At 52.2% G+C, this 19,316-nt stretch overlaps 2 protein-coding genes and 1 long non-coding RNA gene across 3 annotated transcripts, besides 7 other annotated features; 2 read left to right on the top strand and 1 right to left on the bottom strand.

The window, feature by feature from the left end:
• Nucleotides 1-1,657: part of a mitotic recombination region, noted in NCBI's record as "NUP98-HOXA13 recombination region recombines with sequences near or within NUP98 intron 12 of the nucleoporin 98kDa recombination region, but the exact location has not been determined", that runs on past the window's edge. NCBI's record gives the evidence for it as "EXISTENCE:nucleotide sequencing assay evidence [ECO:0000219][PMID:11830496]" and "EXISTENCE:Southern hybridization evidence [ECO:0000078][PMID:11830496]".
• Nucleotides 9-5,736, top strand: HOXA13 (homeobox A13). The gene is made up of 2 exons (NM_000522.5): nt 9-944; nt 1,658-5,736. The coding sequence occupies exons 1-2, from the start codon at nt 23-25 to the stop codon at nt 1,900-1,902; spliced, it is 1,167 nt and encodes a 388-aa protein (NP_000513.2). The 5' UTR covers nt 9-22; the 3' UTR covers nt 1,903-5,736.
• Nucleotides 6,855-7,412: an enhancer, noted in NCBI's record as "H3K27ac-H3K4me1 hESC enhancer chr7:27232307-27232864 (GRCh37/hg19 assembly coordinates)". NCBI's record gives its function as "activates a minimal SCP1, AML or CMV promoter by ChIP-STARR-seq in naive H9 embryonic stem cells {active_cell/tissue: H9 hESC(naive)}" and the evidence as "EXISTENCE:reporter gene assay evidence [ECO:0000049][PMID:30033119]".
• Nucleotides 7,413-7,970: an enhancer, noted in NCBI's record as "H3K27ac-H3K4me1 hESC enhancer chr7:27231749-27232306 (GRCh37/hg19 assembly coordinates)". NCBI's record gives its function as "activates a minimal SCP1, AML or CMV promoter by ChIP-STARR-seq in primed H9 embryonic stem cells {active_cell/tissue: H9 hESC(primed)}" and the evidence as "EXISTENCE:reporter gene assay evidence [ECO:0000049][PMID:30033119]".
• Nucleotides 10,807-14,692, bottom strand: HOXA11-AS (HOXA11 antisense RNA). Its single transcript, NR_002795.2, has 2 exons — nt 13,837-14,692; nt 10,807-11,499 (listed from the first exon to the last, which is right to left on the bottom strand). It is a non-coding gene; the product is annotated as an HOXA11 antisense RNA (long non-coding RNA).
• Nucleotides 13,741-14,622: an enhancer, noted in NCBI's record as "H3K4me1 hESC enhancer chr7:27225097-27225978 (GRCh37/hg19 assembly coordinates)". NCBI's record gives its function as "activates a minimal SCP1, AML or CMV promoter by ChIP-STARR-seq in primed H9 embryonic stem cells {active_cell/tissue: H9 hESC(primed)}" and the evidence as "EXISTENCE:reporter gene assay evidence [ECO:0000049][PMID:30033119]".
• HOXA11 (homeobox A11) lies at nt 14,868-18,943 on the top strand. Its single transcript, NM_005523.6, has 2 exons — nt 14,868-15,664; nt 17,072-18,943. The coding sequence occupies exons 1-2, from the start codon at nt 14,956-14,958 to the stop codon at nt 17,302-17,304; spliced, it is 942 nt and encodes a 313-aa protein (NP_005514.1). The 5' UTR covers nt 14,868-14,955; the 3' UTR covers nt 17,305-18,943.
• Nucleotides 14,882-17,071: a mitotic recombination region, noted in NCBI's record as "NUP98-HOXA11 recombination region recombines with the NUP98 intron 12 (HOXA11 intron) recombination sub-region within the nucleoporin 98kDa recombination region". NCBI's record gives the evidence for it as "EXISTENCE:nucleotide sequencing assay evidence [ECO:0000219][PMID:11830496, PMID:19338047]" and "EXISTENCE:Southern hybridization evidence [ECO:0000078][PMID:11830496, PMID:11841413]".
• Nucleotides 15,505-16,386: an enhancer, noted in NCBI's record as "H3K27ac-H3K4me1 hESC enhancer chr7:27223333-27224214 (GRCh37/hg19 assembly coordinates)". NCBI's record gives its function as "activates a minimal SCP1, AML or CMV promoter by ChIP-STARR-seq in primed H9 embryonic stem cells {active_cell/tissue: H9 hESC(primed)}" and the evidence as "EXISTENCE:reporter gene assay evidence [ECO:0000049][PMID:30033119]".
• Nucleotides 16,387-17,269: an enhancer, noted in NCBI's record as "H3K4me1 hESC enhancer chr7:27222450-27223332 (GRCh37/hg19 assembly coordinates)". NCBI's record gives its function as "activates a minimal SCP1, AML or CMV promoter by ChIP-STARR-seq in primed H9 embryonic stem cells {active_cell/tissue: H9 hESC(primed)}" and the evidence as "EXISTENCE:reporter gene assay evidence [ECO:0000049][PMID:30033119]".

Below are 19,316 nucleotides of genomic sequence, written 5' to 3'. Positions count from 1 at the left end.
TCTTCTCCATGCGGCTCGGGCTATGACAGCCTCCGTGCTCCTCCACCCCCGCTGGATCGAGCCCACCGTCATGTTTCTCTACGACAACGGCGGCGGCCTGGTGGCCGACGAGCTCAACAAGAACATGGAAGGGGCGGCGGCGGCTGCAGCAGCGGCTGCAGCGGCGGCGGCTGCCGGGGCCGGGGGCGGGGGCTTCCCCCACCCGGCGGCTGCGGCGGCAGGGGGCAACTTCTCGGTGGCGGCGGCGGCCGCGGCTGCGGCGGCGGCCGCGGCCAACCAGTGCCGCAACCTGATGGCGCACCCGGCGCCCTTGGCGCCAGGAGCCGCGTCCGCCTACAGCAGCGCCCCCGGGGAGGCGCCCCCGTCGGCTGCCGCCGCTGCTGCCGCGGCTGCCGCTGCAGCCGCCGCCGCCGCCGCCGCGTCGTCCTCGGGAGGTCCCGGCCCGGCGGGCCCGGCGGGCGCAGAGGCCGCCAAGCAATGCAGCCCCTGCTCGGCAGCGGCGCAGAGCTCGTCGGGGCCCGCGGCGCTGCCCTATGGCTACTTCGGCAGCGGCTACTACCCGTGCGCCCGCATGGGCCCGCACCCCAACGCCATCAAGTCGTGCGCGCAGCCCGCCTCGGCCGCCGCCGCCGCCGCCTTCGCGGACAAGTACATGGATACCGCCGGCCCAGCTGCCGAGGAGTTCAGCTCCCGCGCTAAGGAGTTCGCCTTCTACCACCAGGGCTACGCAGCCGGGCCTTACCACCACCATCAGCCCATGCCTGGCTACCTGGATATGCCAGTGGTGCCGGGCCTCGGGGGCCCCGGCGAGTCGCGCCACGAACCCTTGGGTCTTCCCATGGAAAGCTACCAGCCCTGGGCGCTGCCCAACGGCTGGAACGGCCAAATGTACTGCCCCAAAGAGCAGGCGCAGCCTCCCCACCTCTGGAAGTCCACTCTGCCCGGTAAATGACGACCTATTCCCAGCCCTGGTCTTCCGGCTCTGCTCCAGCTTCTTCTCCGCTCGCACCCGGGCGATCCCGGGTGCGTTTCTGTTCTCTTCCTGGTCTGCCCTAGCGGCTCTGCACCCCTGGGAGCCCGAGCATGGCTGGCTGGGTCTGCCTGCACTGCCTCGAGTTGAGCTGGTCCCTGGCTCTCCCTGGGTGAGGGGTGGCTTGTGGAGACCTCGGCTAGCTTCCCTCTCCCTCTGCGCCCCGCCCTCCCCAGCCCCTGACACCAATTTAAGGATGAGAAATTGACCAGAAAACAGCTCCCCAAATTGCCCCTCCCTATTCATTCTCTCAAAAATGGCTTCAGTGTAGAAGCTTCGAGTATTGGGACGGGCACCCAGAAAGGAGGCAGGCACAGAAGTGTTGTACCTTGAGCCTGGCGCTAAGGTGTGGGCCGTTGGACCAGGCTATCACTCGAGGCTGCCTACGCGCTGCTCCTGCAGGATGGCCGGGTTGGGGAAGTCACTGGAGCCCTGGGTGATTTCATTTCAGTTCAGAACTAACTACCTTCCCCACTGACCCTCTAGGCTTTAGCAGAAGACAGGATTGTACAGCGGGTGGCAAAGAGCAGCCGGGCGCTGCAAGGCGGGTGGCTCAGATCGAGCTGTCGCCTATGCCCTGGCTGGGGTCCGATCCCTGTGTAACTTGCCTTCTCCCTTGTCTTCTAGACGTGGTCTCCCATCCCTCGGATGCCAGCTCCTATAGGAGGGGGAGAAAGAAGCGCGTGCCTTATACCAAGGTGCAATTAAAAGAACTTGAACGGGAATACGCCACGAATAAATTCATTACTAAGGACAAACGGAGGCGGATATCAGCCACGACGAATCTCTCTGAGCGGCAGGTCACAATCTGGTTCCAGAACAGGAGGGTTAAAGAGAAAAAAGTCATCAACAAACTGAAAACCACTAGTTAATGGATTAAAAATAGAGCAAGAAGGCAACTTGAAGAAACGCTTCAGAACTCGTTGCTTTGCCCAGATAATGATAATAATGCTTAATAATAATTGAAGAATGGGAAAGAGAAAGAGACAGAGACTGGCATTTTCCTCTCCCGAAGGAGATCTCTTTCTCTTTAATGGAATCTACAACTGTTTTAAAACTTTAAGAAAGGTAAAGACTGCCAGTTCTTCCGCCAACCCCATCAGCCCAGCCCGTTAAATGTCAAACGTCAACCCCCAAAATACGCAATTTCAGATAAGTTACGCAGTTACTGAAATCTTGTAAGTATTTAAGTGATCGTTACATTTTAGGACACTGCGTTAGATGGTAATAATCTGGAAGTTGGTTACAAACGCAAGAGGCCATTGTAAACATCTGCTTGTCCTTCTTAGGTCGCCATTCCCTTTGCATGTTAAGCGTCTGCTCAGGTAAATCTTAGTGAAATTCCTACCGTTGTTGTACGTTCTGCAAAACATTTTATGTATAGATTTAGAGGGGAAACGAGAAGGTACTGAAATAATGATCTTGGAATATTTGCTGTGAAGGGAGAAAGGGAGAGAAAACTCTTCTGAGGATCATTTGTCTTGGTAGTATAGTAAAACCAACCAGCTGAACCTTTCAGGCTACAAGAGAACCCGGGTCGGTAATGTCTTTTTAAGAATAATTTTTAATTGCTTATAACAAGCATATTTTGTGGCATTTGAACTATATTTACTGCTCCAATATCCGTTATTTTCCAAAGGATTTTGTATCTTTTTGAAAATGTTTACATCATCAGATGATCCACAGAATTCACTTTATGTGAGATCTCCCGAGAGTTTCCATCCCAACATGATGGACTTTGGTTTGAACACAATTCGTTTTTTCATTTGAATTGGCATTTCCCAATATTTGCTAAACATTTGCTGGAGAAATCATTTTTCTTTTTTCTTTTTTAGAAAACTCAGAATGAAAATTCATTCCCCTGAAATATTTAGGTGTCTATATTCTATATTTTGATCTATTAAGGGATTAGTATTTTTCCATGTTTATTGTGTTATCAGAGTGCATTAGAAAGATTAGTGATTCATCTTCACAGCACATTTTTAATCAAGCAGTTATTTCAACCAGCACATTCGTTTTGTTCATATTCACTATAGAATGATATCTTGTAAATAAAGACATTCAGCACACTGTGAAAATGTATTTGTGCACCTGCTTTTTAAATATTTCTACTAAAAATGAAAAAAAAAAACCCTTAGACCTGTAGATAGTGATATCGTAATATTAATTGTTAATAAAATAGTCACTGCCATTAAAATCTGCAGAAAATACTCTTTACTTTCCTATGCTAAATGTGCACTGCACAGAAAGAAAAGGAGCAGGTTTATCTTATATAAACCAAGGACCATTCTTTATTATTATTCAGTACTTCTTTTGCTACCAAATTTTTAAGAAAAGGGAGAAATCCCTCATAACTAAAATCCTAAAAAATGATAAGTGCTTCAAGGAGATTAAAGTGTCAGGTATTACAAAAGGGAGAGAAAAGAAAGGAGGAAGAGATAGTATGAATTCCCAGGCTCCCTGTGGAAAATGAAAACCAGTTGTTTTGTAGCAGCAATGCCTAGGCTGTCGTATTTTAAAATCTGCTGTTGGGTCTGCATGTGTCTGAGAGGGCAGGTTTTGATATTTGTTGAAATGACAGGACTACGAAAGGCCTTAAACCTTGACCTTGACGAAAAAAAAGACAATTTGTGACCTTGACTTTTGACAGCTCATGAATTGGCCTTAGCTGGATTAGTAGATCAAGGGCGCCACCTCGCGTTGACAAGCCTCCTTGTAATTCTTCAACCAAGGGAATCAAGAGCTCTTACCTCCTTGACTTTAGAGATTCAGTACTCAATTATTTGGCTCCAGCTGGAGCAAATTTGAATATATGTAAATTATACATGTCCCTGTATATATGTAAATATATATAATATGTGTACACATGTATACATTTGCATATTAGTGCTTGTGTGTGCTTGTATATATATTTGTAGAATCTGTACAGATATCATATCATTAATTGCTAATGACGCAAGATATTGTAATTTAAGGTGATTTCTAGAATTGAGGTACAAAATGTACTTTACAAGATGAAGCCTTGTTCCTTTTCTCTAATGGCCAAATTTGATTTGTCTTCACAGTGGCTTGCTCTGCATCAGATTTCTGCAGATCTGCTTTAAAGCTGTACATTTTTGTTACAGTCTAAGATGTGTTCTTAAATCACCATTCCTTCCTGGTCCTCACCCTCCAGGGTGGTCTCACACTGTAATTAGAGCTATTGAGGAGTCTTTACAGCAAATTAAGATTCAGATGCCTTGCTAAGTCTAGAGTTCTAGAGTTATGTTTCAGAAAGTCTAAGAAACCCACCTCTTGAGAGGTCAGTAAAGAGGACTTAATATTTCATATCTACAAAATGACCACAGGATTGGATACAGAACGAGAGTTATCCTGGATAACTCAGAGCTGAGTACTGCTCCAGGGTGGTGTGCAATCTTATATTGATGCTTGTGAATCTGCCATTTGATTTGTAGGATAAATAAATATGTTTAATATTAACAACTTCCATCAAAACTATAATAATAATATTATATCTACTGTTGACCTCTAACAACAATCAGGTGCTGTATTCAGAGTCATAAAGAATACATATGTATGTTTGTATATTTAATATACACATAGGATAATGTGTTTTTGTCAAATCTATGCTATGCGCATATGTATTAAAATGTTGGTGGAATCAGTAGCCGTGGGATGCAGAATTGTGAGATGCAGGCTAATTTTATCTTTACGTTAGAGGAAAGTAATAGTGAATGGAAGAACCAGATTCATCATTTTATGGAAAATAATATTGATTGGTTACAAAAGTGGCTGCCGGAAACCTCTCCAACCTCTCCTGAGGACTCACAACTTCTTTATAGATGAGAATTACGAAAGAGTCTCTAAAGCTGTCTCAAAAACAGGCTGGTGTTGAAACATACATATCGAAAGGTCTCGAGAAATTCAATTATATTTTGCTGCCCTGAGGATTTTCACTCCACTTGTGGAAACAAATGATAATGTTGCTTCAGACCCACCTCTCCACCTCTTGTTCCAAACAGTACTCCATTTCCAAATGAGCTGCCATCAAGCCAAAGTAACAACTTTCTCCCAAAATGTTTAAAGTGGTGGAAAATCCCCTCAAAGCTGGATCAAACTGTGTGTTTAAGAACAGCTCCAAAAGGGACTCTTCTGTTGACAGGGGATATTTTTCTTTAGATGTAAGAAATATTCTGAGCCTCGAGCCTAGGAAGGAGGCCAACAGCAGCTCTCCAGCCGGGATCCCGCCCCTTTCGAAAGCCATCACCACTACAGGAACCCTGGGTAAAGTAGTAGCCTTCTTTTTTTCTCTCTCTAGTTTTTGAAACTGTAATGACAGAAGACATTTCAGGGTTGTTGTGGGGATTTTTTCCCCCCAGTTCTAAAATGGTCATTGATAGTGTCGATCTTACCTAACTCTCCTCCTATTTAAAATTTCTGTGGATCTACCAGATAACCTAAAGTGGGCATGGATTATTTATTATGGCTCCTTTAATGCCCAAATAGCAATCAGTCTAAAACCTTAAAACAAAAACAAAAACAAAAACAAAAATCAAGGAGAGACCAGCCACCTCCTGAAAAATAGGAATAATAGTATCAGCCACTGACCCATGGATAATGTTGTTGAAAGCCTGATTAAAGTATTTTTTTCTAAAAAGAAAACTCTTCCTGAATTAAGAAAATAAAAATGGGACTTTAAAAAAAAACGCTACTTTTTCTATCTGCTCTCAGTACTATCATATTTATTTACTTATTTTAAGTGGATGATTGTTAAATGTCGCTATGCATTTCACTCCTATTTGTGACTGATGCAGAGCTGAAGCCACCCATTCAAGTTATTCAAGTTGTGGGTTTTTAAAAAAAATTAACAGAAAAGGGAAGAAAAAAATTAAAACAACCTAGTTGAAATCTTTTCTTAAAAATTCACCACTAGGCAGTGAAATTCAGCTGCAGATGCAACATTTGTGTGCGGAGAGTTGACACAGATTTCACTTTGTAATACATGTAAGTGCAGATTGCACTCTGCTGCATGTGTTTGGAGGCCTTGGTGAAGATGCAGTGTCTTGCTTCCTCTGTGAATTCCCGAGTTCAGGAGCAGAGACGGAGGTTGCCCTGGACTGCTAATCCCCAGACCCGGTGGGTTCAGAGGCGCCCTCCTGGATTTGCGGACCTCTCCCAAGGAGACGCTAGGGGCTTGCTGATTTATGCGCATTCCTTTAAACTTGATCGAATGCGTGTCAGCCGACCAAGACCTGGAGAATCAGAGAAATGTGCAGCGAGTTGCTCACATCCCATTTCTCATAAGCAAAGATATAGCGTTATCCAAAAGGCAGAGGGAGATTTATGCCTAGGTTTTAGGACAGGCACGCTAATTAAGTTTTCATCTGCTAGGCCGCCGGTCTATAACAGCCGGCCTCATTCTTTATGAAAATGCCCACTCAATCCTCGTGCATCTATCTATCTCTGATGAATGCCTGAGAAGTGCTTGCTATTTTTAATTTTATTTTAAAGGGAAGGAAAAAGACACTGGCGCAGAAAAACTCCTCCGTGAAAGCAGCCAAGGCCTTGCCACAGTTGATTTCATTTCTGCCCGGCTCTCGTGACGCTGAAGAGCCGGATCCACTGGGCAGAAATAATTACAACGGGTCTCAGAGATTTCCAAACCTCTGCGGGCGGTTATGCGGCGACATAGGTCCTCCCCCAGGTACTGGGGTGTGAACTCGGAGAGCTACCTGATGTCGCGCCCCTCGGGGACAGAGGCGCGGCCCCAAACCCTCCACGCTTCTACAAGAACCCCCTACTCAAAATGGAGGCTCAGGCCGGTGTAAAGCGGGCCTCCCTCTGACGGCACGCGGGCCAGTCGGGGCTGCGGCAGGACGGCTGGCGGAGGTCCCGGCGCGGAACAGCAAGGGCCGTGTCTGTGCGGGTGAGTGGCCCCGCAACTGCAGGCTGACGTCACCGCAGGCCGCGCGGGCCTTCGTGGGGCTCCCCGGGCGCGGCTGGATCAGGACAAGCCTACTTCAAGGAATGTTTGGTGTGGGTGCCCACTTCCCGGCCCCGCCCCGCCCTCCCCAGGAGAATAATCGGGTATTTAATCTCTCCCGGTCTTAATTCTTGGCAGCGTGGAAGGTGGTTTGCAACGGGAAATAAAACTTGACAGGAGCATTTTCTCTAAAAGGGATTTTGAGACGAGCTGAAAAGAAACCGTGTTTTTCTCTACCAAATACTTCCGCTTTCTGAGCCCGGAGCCGAGCGGTGGGAGCTATCCGAGGGAACGGAGAGCGAGCCGGGCACGCGGGGCTACGCTGTGCACCCCAGCGGCCGCGCCGTCCGCCCGGGCGGGAGGCAGCCTCGGGCTGCGCTGCGCCCCGCGCCTCTGCCACGCTCCGCGCCGCTGGGCTGTAGGCCCCGAAGCCGCCCGCAGCCCGAGGCCGGGACCCGGCGCACGGGACCGTGGCACCGGCAGGTCCCGGTTGGCACCCAGAGTGGTACCCAGGAGCTGGCTGAGGGCGGCTGGGGTCAGGAGCTGGCTGAGGGCGGCTGGCGAGAGAAGAGGGCCCTGGAGAGGGCCTTAAGGGGCTTAGCGTTAGCTCTGAGCCTCTGGTCTGGGGGGTTGGCGACAGCAGCTTGCAAGAAGGGTGGTGAGAGCAGGGCTGGGGGCTTTGTTTCCGGCCGCGGGTCTGCGGACACTGCACAAAATGGAGGGGGAAAGGGGGTGAGCGCGCAGCTGGCGTGGGTCGAGCGGACTGCTATTGGGTGGAGGAGGCTGGAGAGAGCAGCGTCCCCCTCCCTGCGGCTCAGCCAGCGCCCTCCTCTCGTGCCGTAAAGGTCAAGTCCTCCGCGCCACGGCCGCCTCTATGGTCAGGGCCGATCGCTGCCGCCGCCTCAAGAAGGCACAGGACGCACAGTTACCTTGCTGCAAGCGGGTTCTGGTAGCCTGGGCTCTGGGCTCGTGCACTGGAGGCAGAGGTTCTTTCTTGATTTCCAACTCTCCCATCCCCAGCCCTGTTGGAAAGGAGTCCCGGCAGCCACGGGTGGCCCAGGCCGTGTCCCCGTCCCAGAAGAGCGGGGTTTGCCCCAGTCCAGCAGACTTCGGAGCCCGCTAAGGCCTAGCGGGGGCGAGAGGGAGCGCCTGCAAGCCCAGGGGAAAGGACGTGGCTGGATCGGAGTTCTGGGTCCTGGTAGGAACATAGGGCCGACTTGGCAGGGAAGAGGATAGGGGAGCCAAGACCCTGCTGGAGAGACTCTCCTGGGGTCCCAGAATCCAGGCCTCTCCCTCAGTGAGTGGCAAGCCTTTGGTGAGACCCTTGATGCTCTTCTCCTGCCTAAAATCCACACAGATGTGAGGCGCACTCTTCCAAGGTAAAAACTCCTGACTCCCAGCCCCCAAGAATCCTTCACTGCGCTCTGCGAGGGAGAGAGCCCCTTACCCCCTGCCTATAGCCTGCCTCCAGCAGATCAGAGCATCAGGCCCTGCGGTAAACGTTAGCTTAAGCGTGATCTGCCGCTGAGCCTATCTCTCCAGGTGAACCAAAGAGGACATGCAAAGGATTTCTTTTCGCGGAAGCCAAAAATCTGGATTGTACCCCTAGGGCTGCGTGGATGGGCTGGGCTGGGCTGTGGGGGCATATATAGCAGAAACAATGATCTGTGAATGGGTCCCATCGCAGAACTGCCTGGAAGGGTGTGTAGGGGAGGAGGGCTGGATGGGGTGATGGCTCTTCTCAAGCCTGGAATGTGAGCCAACATGAGCACTGAGTGGAAATGGAGCTGCCCTAGGAAGCAGTTGGAGCTTTGTGGCGTGGGGGCTTCCTGTGAGCTACGGCTGTAGAGACCGAGACCCAAGGACCAGAGCCAACCTTCGGGTTGGGCCACCCCCTTTTGTCTTCTTTATCTCAGACACACTCTGCTGGGAAACCTGTTTGGGCCAAAGCTGCATGGGGAATGGAAGGCAGACACTGAGAACTAGGGCTTCGCCCTTCAAAGTCTCCCCCACCCCATTTGTTCCCATGCTATAGGAAAAAGAAGTCTAATAATTGGCAACAATAAAAATAAAAATAGTTATTAAAGGAAGTAATCTTCTCTTCTCCCTTCAGTTTGGGATCCACTAAAGTAAATGATAACTAGATTGCTTAGGTACTTGAGACCCTCAGCTGAGCCCTGTGCCCCACTCTGCAGTGGCCAGGGGAAGGGTATGGGCCTTTTCAGATATTTAGGGGCTTTGAAGGATGACTGAAACTGCCAGTCAGACCAAGCAGAATTATGAGGTCCACTTCAGGGCATTACCTGTTTCTGAGCTTTTAGGAAGTGTTGGGGACCTTCGGGGAGGGTGAGGTGTCTCAACAAAGGGACAAATTAACCCCTGCCTCCACCTGGTAGTGATAGAGGTGATCTCTTGATTTTTTAATTGAAGCTTCAGTGCTGCCTCTGGGCAGCGCCTGGAAAATGTGATGGATTGTCTATGATCTGGCAATAAGCCATGCCCTGAGAACAAATACGTGGAGATCTCCTGGGCCTTCCCAGACAACCCATCTCCCCTAGCTCACCACATAAGACAGATGTGCCCACAGGAACCCTTTGATTTGGAAGGAGATATTCCTGTAATGGAGAAGAGCTCTGTTGCCATTTCTACCCGGGGCCTCCGGGCCAGTTCTTGCACCTGTGTGCAGTATGGTCACCAGGGTTGAAATACTCTTCTGTGTAGCTTTCTAGAAACAGTGTGACATTTGTGGACAGAGGAAAGTAAGGGATTAGGCAAGCAGGAGGAGGCAAAATAATGATGGTGCCCTAAGCAATCCACCAAGAGAGAAACTTAACTGTAGCCATCTGGGAGTGAGATTCAGTCTGTCAAGTGGGTCCTGACCCCTCCCAGGCCTATCCCATCTGGGTTGCCCAGCCTAGAAAAGCAGCAGCTGGGTCCGCAGAAGAGAAGGAGGAAGTGTTGGGGAAGAAAGGAGGGTAGAGAAGGGAGGGGAGAGGAAGGGAGATAAGCCAGACTTGGTGGGGCCTTGAGGTGGAGTATTCCTAAGAAGGAGGTGGGAGACTCAGTTCAGGCTCTGGTGGAAGCCCGAAGTTGGGGGAGAGTCAGGGACCTAACAGCCCCTCTTCTCTGCGCCTGAGTATTGGATGCCCTCCAGTGGCACCTCAGCTGTTGCTCAGTCTAGCAGAGGCATCAAAAGAGGTAGGGAAGAGACAGGAGGTCCCAGCAGGTGAGAATGGCTGGAAGGAGGCAGGGCAGGAGACAGGAACTGTAGGGGGGACAGGAGCAGGATCAGGAACTGTAGAGGGACAGGACCCCCTTGAGAAGGACAGTGGTGACTGGGGCAGCTTGGCATTGACATTGAGACTGTGGACAAATGCTGGGCATTTAAAGGGCTGCATGTGCAAGTACTGGGGACTTCGAATTCTCAGATTTCTGGGACAAGGAGCAGCTGCTGCCTCCCAAGCCAGCCCCAGGGAGAGAAGAGGGTGGCCCAGCAGCTTTGCCAGTTGGAGCTGGGAAGCCTGGAGTGTGGAGGTGCTCCCGGCCACCCAGCTGTATCCTCCCTTGGAGTGAGAGGGTGTTAAGCCGCCTGTCAAGTGACGATCCTTGCAGCTCACGTCCCTTGAATGACTGTGCTGGAAACGCCCCCAGCACAACAACCTCGGTAACAAGGCCTCGCATTGCCCGGTGCTCACCGACGGCCTCGAGGCGACCCCGCCTGGGCACTGCCCGCCGGCGCCCTCCCGCTGCCTCCCGGACCATTCAGGCTGCAAGAAGAAGCGGAGGCGGCAGAGGCGCCTGGACCCACTTTATTCCGATATTCCGCCTGCAAAGGCTGTGGAAAGAAGCGTAAGGCTCAGGGATGGTAGTCCCCAGAGAGGAGGGTCCCTGAGGCTCTGCGCAAGCCCCCCCTCCCCAACCTTTCGGGCCAAGTCAGACGAAGCCTCGGAAAGGCTGGGTCTGTTTTGCTGACCAAATCTCCTTGTTAGCCGTTTCCGCCTGACAAGCCTGGCGCAGGCGTTGGCCTTCTCCTCTCCGGGCGGCCACCTCCAATGCCGCGCGGGGAGCAATGGGGCCCGGCCCTGCAGAGGGCTGCCTGGACCTTGAAGTTTGGAAAAACAAGAAGAGACTGAGCCGGCTCCCTCCCTTCTCTGCAGACACACACGCACCGTCAGGCCGCCGCCACTTCCTGCCTTTGTTTTTCTTCCTCCAAACATTTTTTGGCCTCTTGCATTAGCCGCGGTGGGGCTCTGGGTTGACGATAAAAGGAAATACACTCTGAAGACAGTTTTCTGGAGATGGCCCGCGCTGTGGAGCTCCTGAGAAAGAACAGCTCCTGGGAAGCCAGTCGCCAGGGCCAATGTCACAGCCTTACGCGCGCCGGCCTCTTCAAGAAATGGAACTCGGACTTGGCCTTCCGGGGCGGCTTTAGCCTCAGTCGGGTCTTTCCCAGAGCCCGGTGGGCTAAGCTCGGCTGTTGGACCTCCTGCAAAGCGGAAGAGTCAATCATAGGCTCAGAGCAAAGTCAAAACCAAGGACCCGAAGGTCTGCCTCCCCTTTTTCCCCTAGATTTGGTCTGATCCTCAGAGCTGCGCCCACCCCTCGCCCCAGCCGCCTGCCTGGAGAAACCTTCACATTCACACCGCCAGCATATTCCGAACACGAGGGCAGGAGCGGGCAAAGCTGGGATATTGCGCAGCCTTGGGGAGCTGAGTACCCGTCTCCTATTCCTGCTGGGCAACTAAAAGTGTTCGGCCACTCCAGGCGTTTTCCCTTCTGCTGATATCAAAAACCTTTTCCCTCATCCATCTTCACGGCAGCGCCCCCACACACCCCCTTCCGGGCGGCAAGTCCCTCCGGGCACTCGGCTTCGGTGCAGCCTGCCGAATTGCCCTGCCAGCCGCTCCCGGAGCGCCTTTCTCAGCCCCAGCCTTTTCTCCGGAATTCGCCTTTGTCTCCTGCGGACACCCGTGGGATCCAGCCCTGCCAGCACCCTCTCGGTTCGGCCCTCGAGGAGGACATGGGAGGCAGTGGTTATGCGGAACAGCGCACACCCCCATACCGACCTTTCTGCCGGGACCGCTCTCCCGGACACCAGGGGAAAACCGATCTAATTAAGAGAGGGGCTGCGTGCCGCTGGGGGAGGTGGCCTGGCATCCCCCGCTGGCGGGCCACCACAACCCCGTCTGCTCAGGCACAAGCTGAAGTTGACTGCCAAAACTGCTATAAAACCGCAGGTCTGTCTAGAACTGTTTTCGGTTTTCCTAGACGCCCCCGGGTTCAATTATGGTCTTAAAAGCCCTAATACAAGTGCAAGAATTTGTTTGCCTTCACCCAGGGGCGGGGCGAGCCCCGCAATGGTGGCGCCTTTGTTATGGCAAAGTCACTGAAACCCTTCATGCATTCCTTTTGTTCGAAGGTAGGGGTGGCGTGGACTGGGTGGGCTGCAGAGAGAGAGCTTGGGATAGCCAAAATCAAGCCAGGGAACAGCTCGAATACCGCTGTTTGAAACCTCTCCTTCTGTCTTTTATATTCTGTCTCTAAAAAAGAGATGCTGTGGAGAAACAAACATTTTGCCTTGTTGGTCACTGCTGGAAATAGAAGTTTTTTCGCTGCAGGGCAATTCTGTAAATGTGCTTCCCAGCTTTAGGAGGTCTGAGGCTACTCTTCTCCAATAACCTTCCTTCCCACTGGACCTTCTCACTCACAGCACTGCTGCCCTCTGGACAAGCCACAGTGGACAAATATGTCAAGCTGAAGATGCACAAATAATTTCAAGTTCAGTTCTCAGGGATTCAAAGGACATGAAAATTCTTGTAGCAAATCTTGAATAAAGAGTTCATTAAACCAATGTGTCCAAGTAGCTTGATTTGTGATAAGCAATCCTTGTAAAGGTGGTGGTGGGGGGAGGTGGAGAGCCACATAAACATTAATGCTAATAAATTAGTTTACTCGACTACAGAGTAATTACTTCATATTATTGATATTTACAGCAGGTATTCAAATGCAATGGTAGGCCATTATTTGGAGAAAATACATAATAAGAATATTTCTTTTCCAGTGCAATACACGATTAGATTTGTTATTGAGTCAGTTACAGTCAGCTCAGCAATAAATAAATAAATCGATGTTGACACTTAAATACCAAAGATCTTAGAGTTTATACTCTAAATCTCCCCAAGATATGTAAATAACTTTGGCTATTTCCTGGAGAGGGAAAAACAAAAGGTTATCTTTTTACATATTTTTTTATTTTCCTTCAGCAACATCCCAGATCCTTCCAAGAAGAGAGTTGTTGGGAGGCCTCAGGTCTGGGCCCTTCTCAGCTCCTGGCTCTGCCTGGCTGCTCTGTGCTCTGTGTCCTCTCCTTTCTTTCGCTTCCTCCAAACATTGCTCCTTCAATCCTGCAGGATGGGGAGCATATTTTGCCTTCTTAATTTATTTTTTTTCCTCTTCTCAAGAAAGCTAGACTCAGAGTATTGCTATGGCCTCTCTCTATCCTTAGCACAAACCTAGCTTTTTAAAGACATCCCTGTTTCCCCAGGTGCAGGGAGTTCGGGAAGCACCTCTCCTTTCTCTGGTATTGTATTCCTCCTGTGGAATGAGCAGTAGGAAAGGCACAGAGCTCTCTGAGTTTTTGCCCTGCACATCCCTTGCTTTCACTCTCACACATTGCAAGGAAGGAGAGTAGGAGAGTAGGTGGGTTACCCCTTTCTCAGCCACCTCTCCTTGGCCCTCAGCCCGTCCTTTCCACCTCCATTCTCCCCACACCCCTGGAGCTCTGTAAGCAGCCTGATGGGCCCCCCACGAAGATGCAGCATACCCAGGAGAAGTCTCCTCGGATGTCAGCGCCTCTAAAGCAGCCCAAGGCTTGCCTCAATTGCATGGTTTCCCGAGTCCTCAGCTCCAGAAGACCAGGCAGATGGGTGGACCGGTGAGCAGCAGGGCAGCCCCTGTGCCTCTGTCTCTGCCGAGTCACTCCGAAGCCCGGCAGGCAGCGAGGAGGAGGGAGTTTCTCCAAGGACAGAAGGTGGGATGAAGAGGTAGGCAGGGAAGATGAGGGGAGAGGTGGATCCCGGGTAAGACGAAGGCCCTTCCGGGCCCTGCGGATCAGTGACAAACCGCGGGGAGAAGCCGTTCTGGCTGTTGGCGGTTTAGGGACGGAAGGCACTAAAGCGCTTCGGAAGTGACCATGAATGAGAGAGTGTAATCAAGTCACCGTGCAAATCGGACAAGCCACCAGGCAGGCACATCCACGGCTTCAAACTCTGGCCCCGAAGGGGTTCCGGCTAGGGTCGGAGGCAGAGGCGCTTCCCAGAGCAAGTCTATGGGAGGGGGACTGCGAAGAAGGGGGTGCAAATGCGAGACTCCAGGAGAACAGACTCCGAGACCACAGGCCACACAGCGACGGACTCCCACCTGGCTATCCCCAGTCCAGGGCATCCCTCACCCACCCGGGGAGCTGCGGGTGGGAGGTGGGGACGAGAGTTGAGCTCTCACCGCCCTCTGCACACTCGAGAACGAGGACCCTGCAATTGAGCACAAGCATGCTGCATGGGGGCGCACCCCAGCCTCTCCGCGCGCGCCGGGAGGCCCCCCAGCCAACATGAGTTACACCGGCGATTACGTGCTTTCGGTGAGAACACCGAGTGACGATCTGTTGCTTCCCCTGAGGTGGCTACAAAGAAAGGAAGCCGGGAGGGAGGGGAGAGGAGGAAAAAAAAAAAAGGAAAGGGGGGGGGAAAAGGCCCGGACTAGCTAGCAGCTTGTCAATTTCAACATCGGGTCACATGACCAGCACCTCCCTGCTAAGGATGGGGATAGATTTCCACGTCAGCTTACGTCTCCAAATTTCTACTTCACGGATCCGCTTCAAAGAGGCAGCTGCAGTGGAGAATCATGTTAAGCTCGGCTACTGCGGAGAGCCCAAGGTAGCCCAATAATGGATTTTGATGAGCGTGGTCCCTGCTCCTCTAACATGTATTTGCCAAGTTGTACTTACTACGTCTCGGGTCCAGATTTCTCCAGCCTCCCTTCTTTTCTGCCCCAGACCCCGTCTTCGCGCCCAATGACATACTCCTACTCCTCCAACCTGCCCCAGGTCCAACCCGTGCGCGAAGTGACCTTCAGAGAGTACGCCATTGAGCCCGCCACTAAATGGCACCCCCGCGGCAATCTGGCCCACTGCTACTCCGCGGAGGAGCTCGTGCACAGAGACTGCCTGCAGGCGCCCAGCGCGGCCGGCGTGCCTGGCGACGTGCTGGCCAAGAGCTCGGCCAACGTCTACCACCACCCCACCCCCGCAGTCTCGTCCAATTTCTATAGCACCGTGGGCAGGAACGGCGTCCTGCCACAGGCTTTCGACCAGTTTTTCGAGACAGCCTACGGCACCCCGGAAAACCTCGCCTCCTCCGACTACCCCGGGGACAAGAGCGCCGAGAAGGGGCCCCCGGCGGCCACGGCGACCTCCGCGGCGGCGGCGGCGGCTGCAACGGGCGCGCCGGCAACTTCAAGTTCGGACAGCGGCGGCGGCGGCGGCTGCCGGGAGACGGCGGCGGCAGCAGAGGAGAAAGAGCGGCGGCGGCGCCCCGAGAGCAGCAGCAGCCCCGAGTCGTCTTCCGGCCACACTGAGGACAAGGCCGGCGGCTCCAGTACGTATAAAGGCAGCGCCCTGCGCTTTATGAAAGGGGAGTTGGAAATCTAGCGCAGCACCGCTGTTAAATTTTTATATGCTGTTTTATAAGCATATAAGGTTTATGAAGGGCCTTTAGGTTTCCCCCAACAAAACTTTGTTATAAAAGGCGGGATCACGTGGCGAGTGCTGAAATTGGCCGTGAAATACCCACCGGCCAAGGCATGCCTGCAAAAAAAAACAACTCCCCTTTTCCCTTTTTTCCCTTCTCAGCTCCCAAGCCCAGCAGCTCGACCCCGCTCGGGGCCAGCTCCAGGCTGGGGAGCCGGAGGTGGGCGCCTGTAAATTCCCCCTGCAAGGGCTTCGGGAGCTTTTGATAGCGAGGTAATCCGGAGATTTTTATAAAAGCCATGTGTTGCGCCGGGACTCCAGTCCCGGCCGGGATTCAAAGGCGTCGCTGTTTAACGACGGCGCTAGGAGCGCGTTTAACAGATAAAGTAGCCCGCTTAGCTCTAGCAATATATTAAAAGAACAAATTAACCCAAAGTTGGCCTTTTTGTCCAAAGGAAGCCATTTTCCTCTGGCGTGGTGGCAATTACGTGCCTCCTTCTGCCCAACTGCATGTTATTCACAATTGTTATTCAATCTGTCAAAAGCGATTTTTTTTTTGTCTTGTGGGTCTTTTTTTTTTTTTTTTTTTTTTTTTTAAAGGGGGAGCAAGTAGAGCCTGCCCGCAGCTTCGGGAAGCCCCCTTTCCCTTCACCCTACCTAAGATAGAGCCGCTGCTCTGCCGTGTGCAGGATGGCCGTGTGGCCGTGGTGCTCAGCGAAGGCCTAGGGTAGGGGGCTTCCGCCGCCACCTCCCCACCTCGGCGGAGCCGGAAGGCTGGCCGGGGAGGCAGAAGCTGGTGGCCAGGACTCAGGCTGACAAAGACCCGGCAGCCGCCCCAGATGTTAAGGACTGCCCAGTCTTGGCCGCAGCCGGGAAAGACTGGGACTGGAGCCGCCTTTACTGCCTTGGGAAGGGGCAGCCCAGGTGCTGGAAGGTGAAATGTCCGCAGGCGGCTGTTTGTTTAGTCTGGCCTGCGAGAGGCAGCCGGCAACCCCCACTTGGCTGCTTTCAAAGAGGCTTAGGCAGCGCAAACTCGCCTGTTGCTGTGCGAAGCTCTCCTTTCTGTTCTGGGGGCAGCGGGAGCAGCTTCCCCGGGGGCCTATTTAGGGAGCTGGCTTTTATCTGTGGCTGAGCCTCCAACTGCGGCCGTTCCAAGCATGCAGTCGGAGCGTTAAAGGCAGGGGCCTGGGCAGACTTTGACGGGGCTTGGGCTGGACCACCAGTCCCCATGGCAGCCCTTCTCCTCAGCTATGGGCTCTGGGGTGGATTGCAGCCCCCACACCTGGCTCACCCCATGCCTTTTCTCCCTCCACAGGTGGCCAACGCACCCGCAAAAAGCGCTGCCCCTATACCAAGTACCAGATCCGAGAGCTGGAACGGGAGTTCTTCTTCAGCGTCTACATTAACAAAGAGAAGCGCCTGCAACTGTCCCGCATGCTCAACCTCACTGATCGTCAAGTCAAAATCTGGTTTCAGAACAGGAGAATGAAGGAAAAAAAAATTAACAGAGACCGTTTACAGTACTACTCAGCAAATCCACTCCTCTAAGACTCCAGCGGCTGGAATTGGGTGGGGGGCTTCATACACATGAGATAATATGCAGATTTTGCCCTTGACAAAGTCAAGCCACATGGTGACTTTTGAAAAGAGGTGTGCAAGAGAGGGATGCATGGAGATAGCCCCACAGGAGGTGGTCTGGGACTCTCTTGATTAAGATCTCAGTGGTTAAGATTCCTAATAATCATTGGATTCTGAGAGCTGTGCATCAGCTAGAATGACAGGTTTGGGACCCCTGGTGGTTCACTCTTGGAGCCTGCAGAGCTGCGGGCTGGGTGTGGTCTCCACTGGGGATTGGGCCCCTGCCAGACCCCCTGGAGACTAACCCCACCACACCCTCCCTCTACTGGGAGCCTACCCACCCCCAGGACCCCTGAGTAAAAAAGCTGTGTGCTCTCCAAGCCCAGTTCAGCTTGGGGACAGGGGCAGGAGGAAGGGGTAGGATTACTAGGTGCCCAGAATGAGGCTGCTTTCCAAAGCCAATGTGAACAGCGGCTGGACTTGGAGGTAGCTTTGAGGTGGAAGAGGGCTGCAAATCCTTGTGGGAAAAGAAATCTATGATTCCAGGTGGCATCAGTGTCTTTCCACTCCTCCTAGCCACCCACCACACTGATCCAGCCCTGAGTTCCTAGCCACCGCCTCCTACAGCCCACCTGGCTTTTCTTTCTACCAAATGAGGGTCTTGGTTCCAGCCTGCCACTCAGGCCCAAAGCCTCGACACAGAGTGGACTGTTCCCTGAGGTGGGAGATGTGGAAAAGCCAAGAGGCTGCAGCCAGGCCACTGGCCCCTGAGATCTCTGCAGGAAATGGCTGTGGAGTGTGGCAGTTTGGCAAACTCTCCACCACACGTAATGAAACTTGGATTTGCTCAGTGTCTGGCTGCAGAGCAGTGGGCCTGGCCAGCAGGTCCCCAGCTTTGGCTATGAGGGCCTTGAGTCCCCCAAAACACCGGGTTCCAGCACCACACTCAGCCCTCATTGGCTCTTGAACTGAGCTTGGAAGCTTCTGGTGACCTTCCAAGAGCCTGAGAGTGAGGTGGAATTATTTTAAAAGATAAATATTATATTATATATATATATATTTCCCTGAAGGAACCAAAGCGAATTTTAAAAGATGCAATGTAGAGGGGAAAAGAGATGATGAAAATATTTAAAGGCCCTATCTGTTTACAGTGTTCCGTGGTTAAACTCGCTCACTGCTAAGAATATTTGAATGTATGCTTCATACAGGGATGGTGTTCAAAAAACTTGTAAATAAAGGAACCATAATCAATTTTCTTTTCTTTCTTTCTCTTTTTCTTTTTTCTTTTGCCATTAGTTGATTTCCTTTAGGGTGTTGGAGGGGGTGGAAAAGGTATTGAGAATGGTCTTTTTAATCTCTTGCAACATTTGGAAAGAGTTAGGGAAATGCTCAGAGGCAGTCGGCCTGGCCGGCCTGGGGATCTCATCTGGGAAAGCCAGGCACCCTCCCATTGAATCTCCTTTGCCTCCCTGTGTTAAGAAATGTCTGTTGGCTCCATTTGTACTGGGAGTGTTGGCCTGTCCTCAATTCTGGTTCTTACCCACCGTGTGTGTTGCAGCACTTATACAGGCAACTGGGCACAAGGAAAATAAAGACGGTGGAAATTTGAGTATCCTGGTGTGACATTCCTCTCCCTGATCGCCTTTTACTACCAAATGTCTGCCCCCCTCCCCCCACCCCCCCAAAAAATGCCTTACCTAGTTGAGGAGCAAGTTATCAGGCCCCTGAGGGGGTGAGAAGGTGACTGAGTCAGGAATTGGCTACAACAGAAGCCAGGCTTAGGAAACCAAGGTGGTTGGCTACGTCCTTGTGGGAAGTGGGGACCTGGGTGGTATCTCAGGGCCTGGAATATAGGACTTTATCCCCTCAGACTGATCTCAGCCCTGGAGAGGGCCTTGGGGCCTGAGGTGGCCAACAGGTCAGACCCCAGGCTGCCCTCGCTCACCTCAGGACAGGTAGGCCTGCAGTGGGACCGTCCGGGG

Source organism: Homo sapiens, chromosome 7, assembly GCF_000001405.40.
Source record: "Homo sapiens chromosome 7, GRCh38.p14 Primary Assembly".
In the NCBI taxonomy this organism is placed as follows: Eukaryota; Metazoa; Chordata; class Mammalia; order Primates; family Hominidae; genus Homo; species Homo sapiens.
The sequence above is the reverse complement of the archived record's forward strand: the minus strand, read 5'-3'. Positions and strand labels throughout refer to the sequence as shown.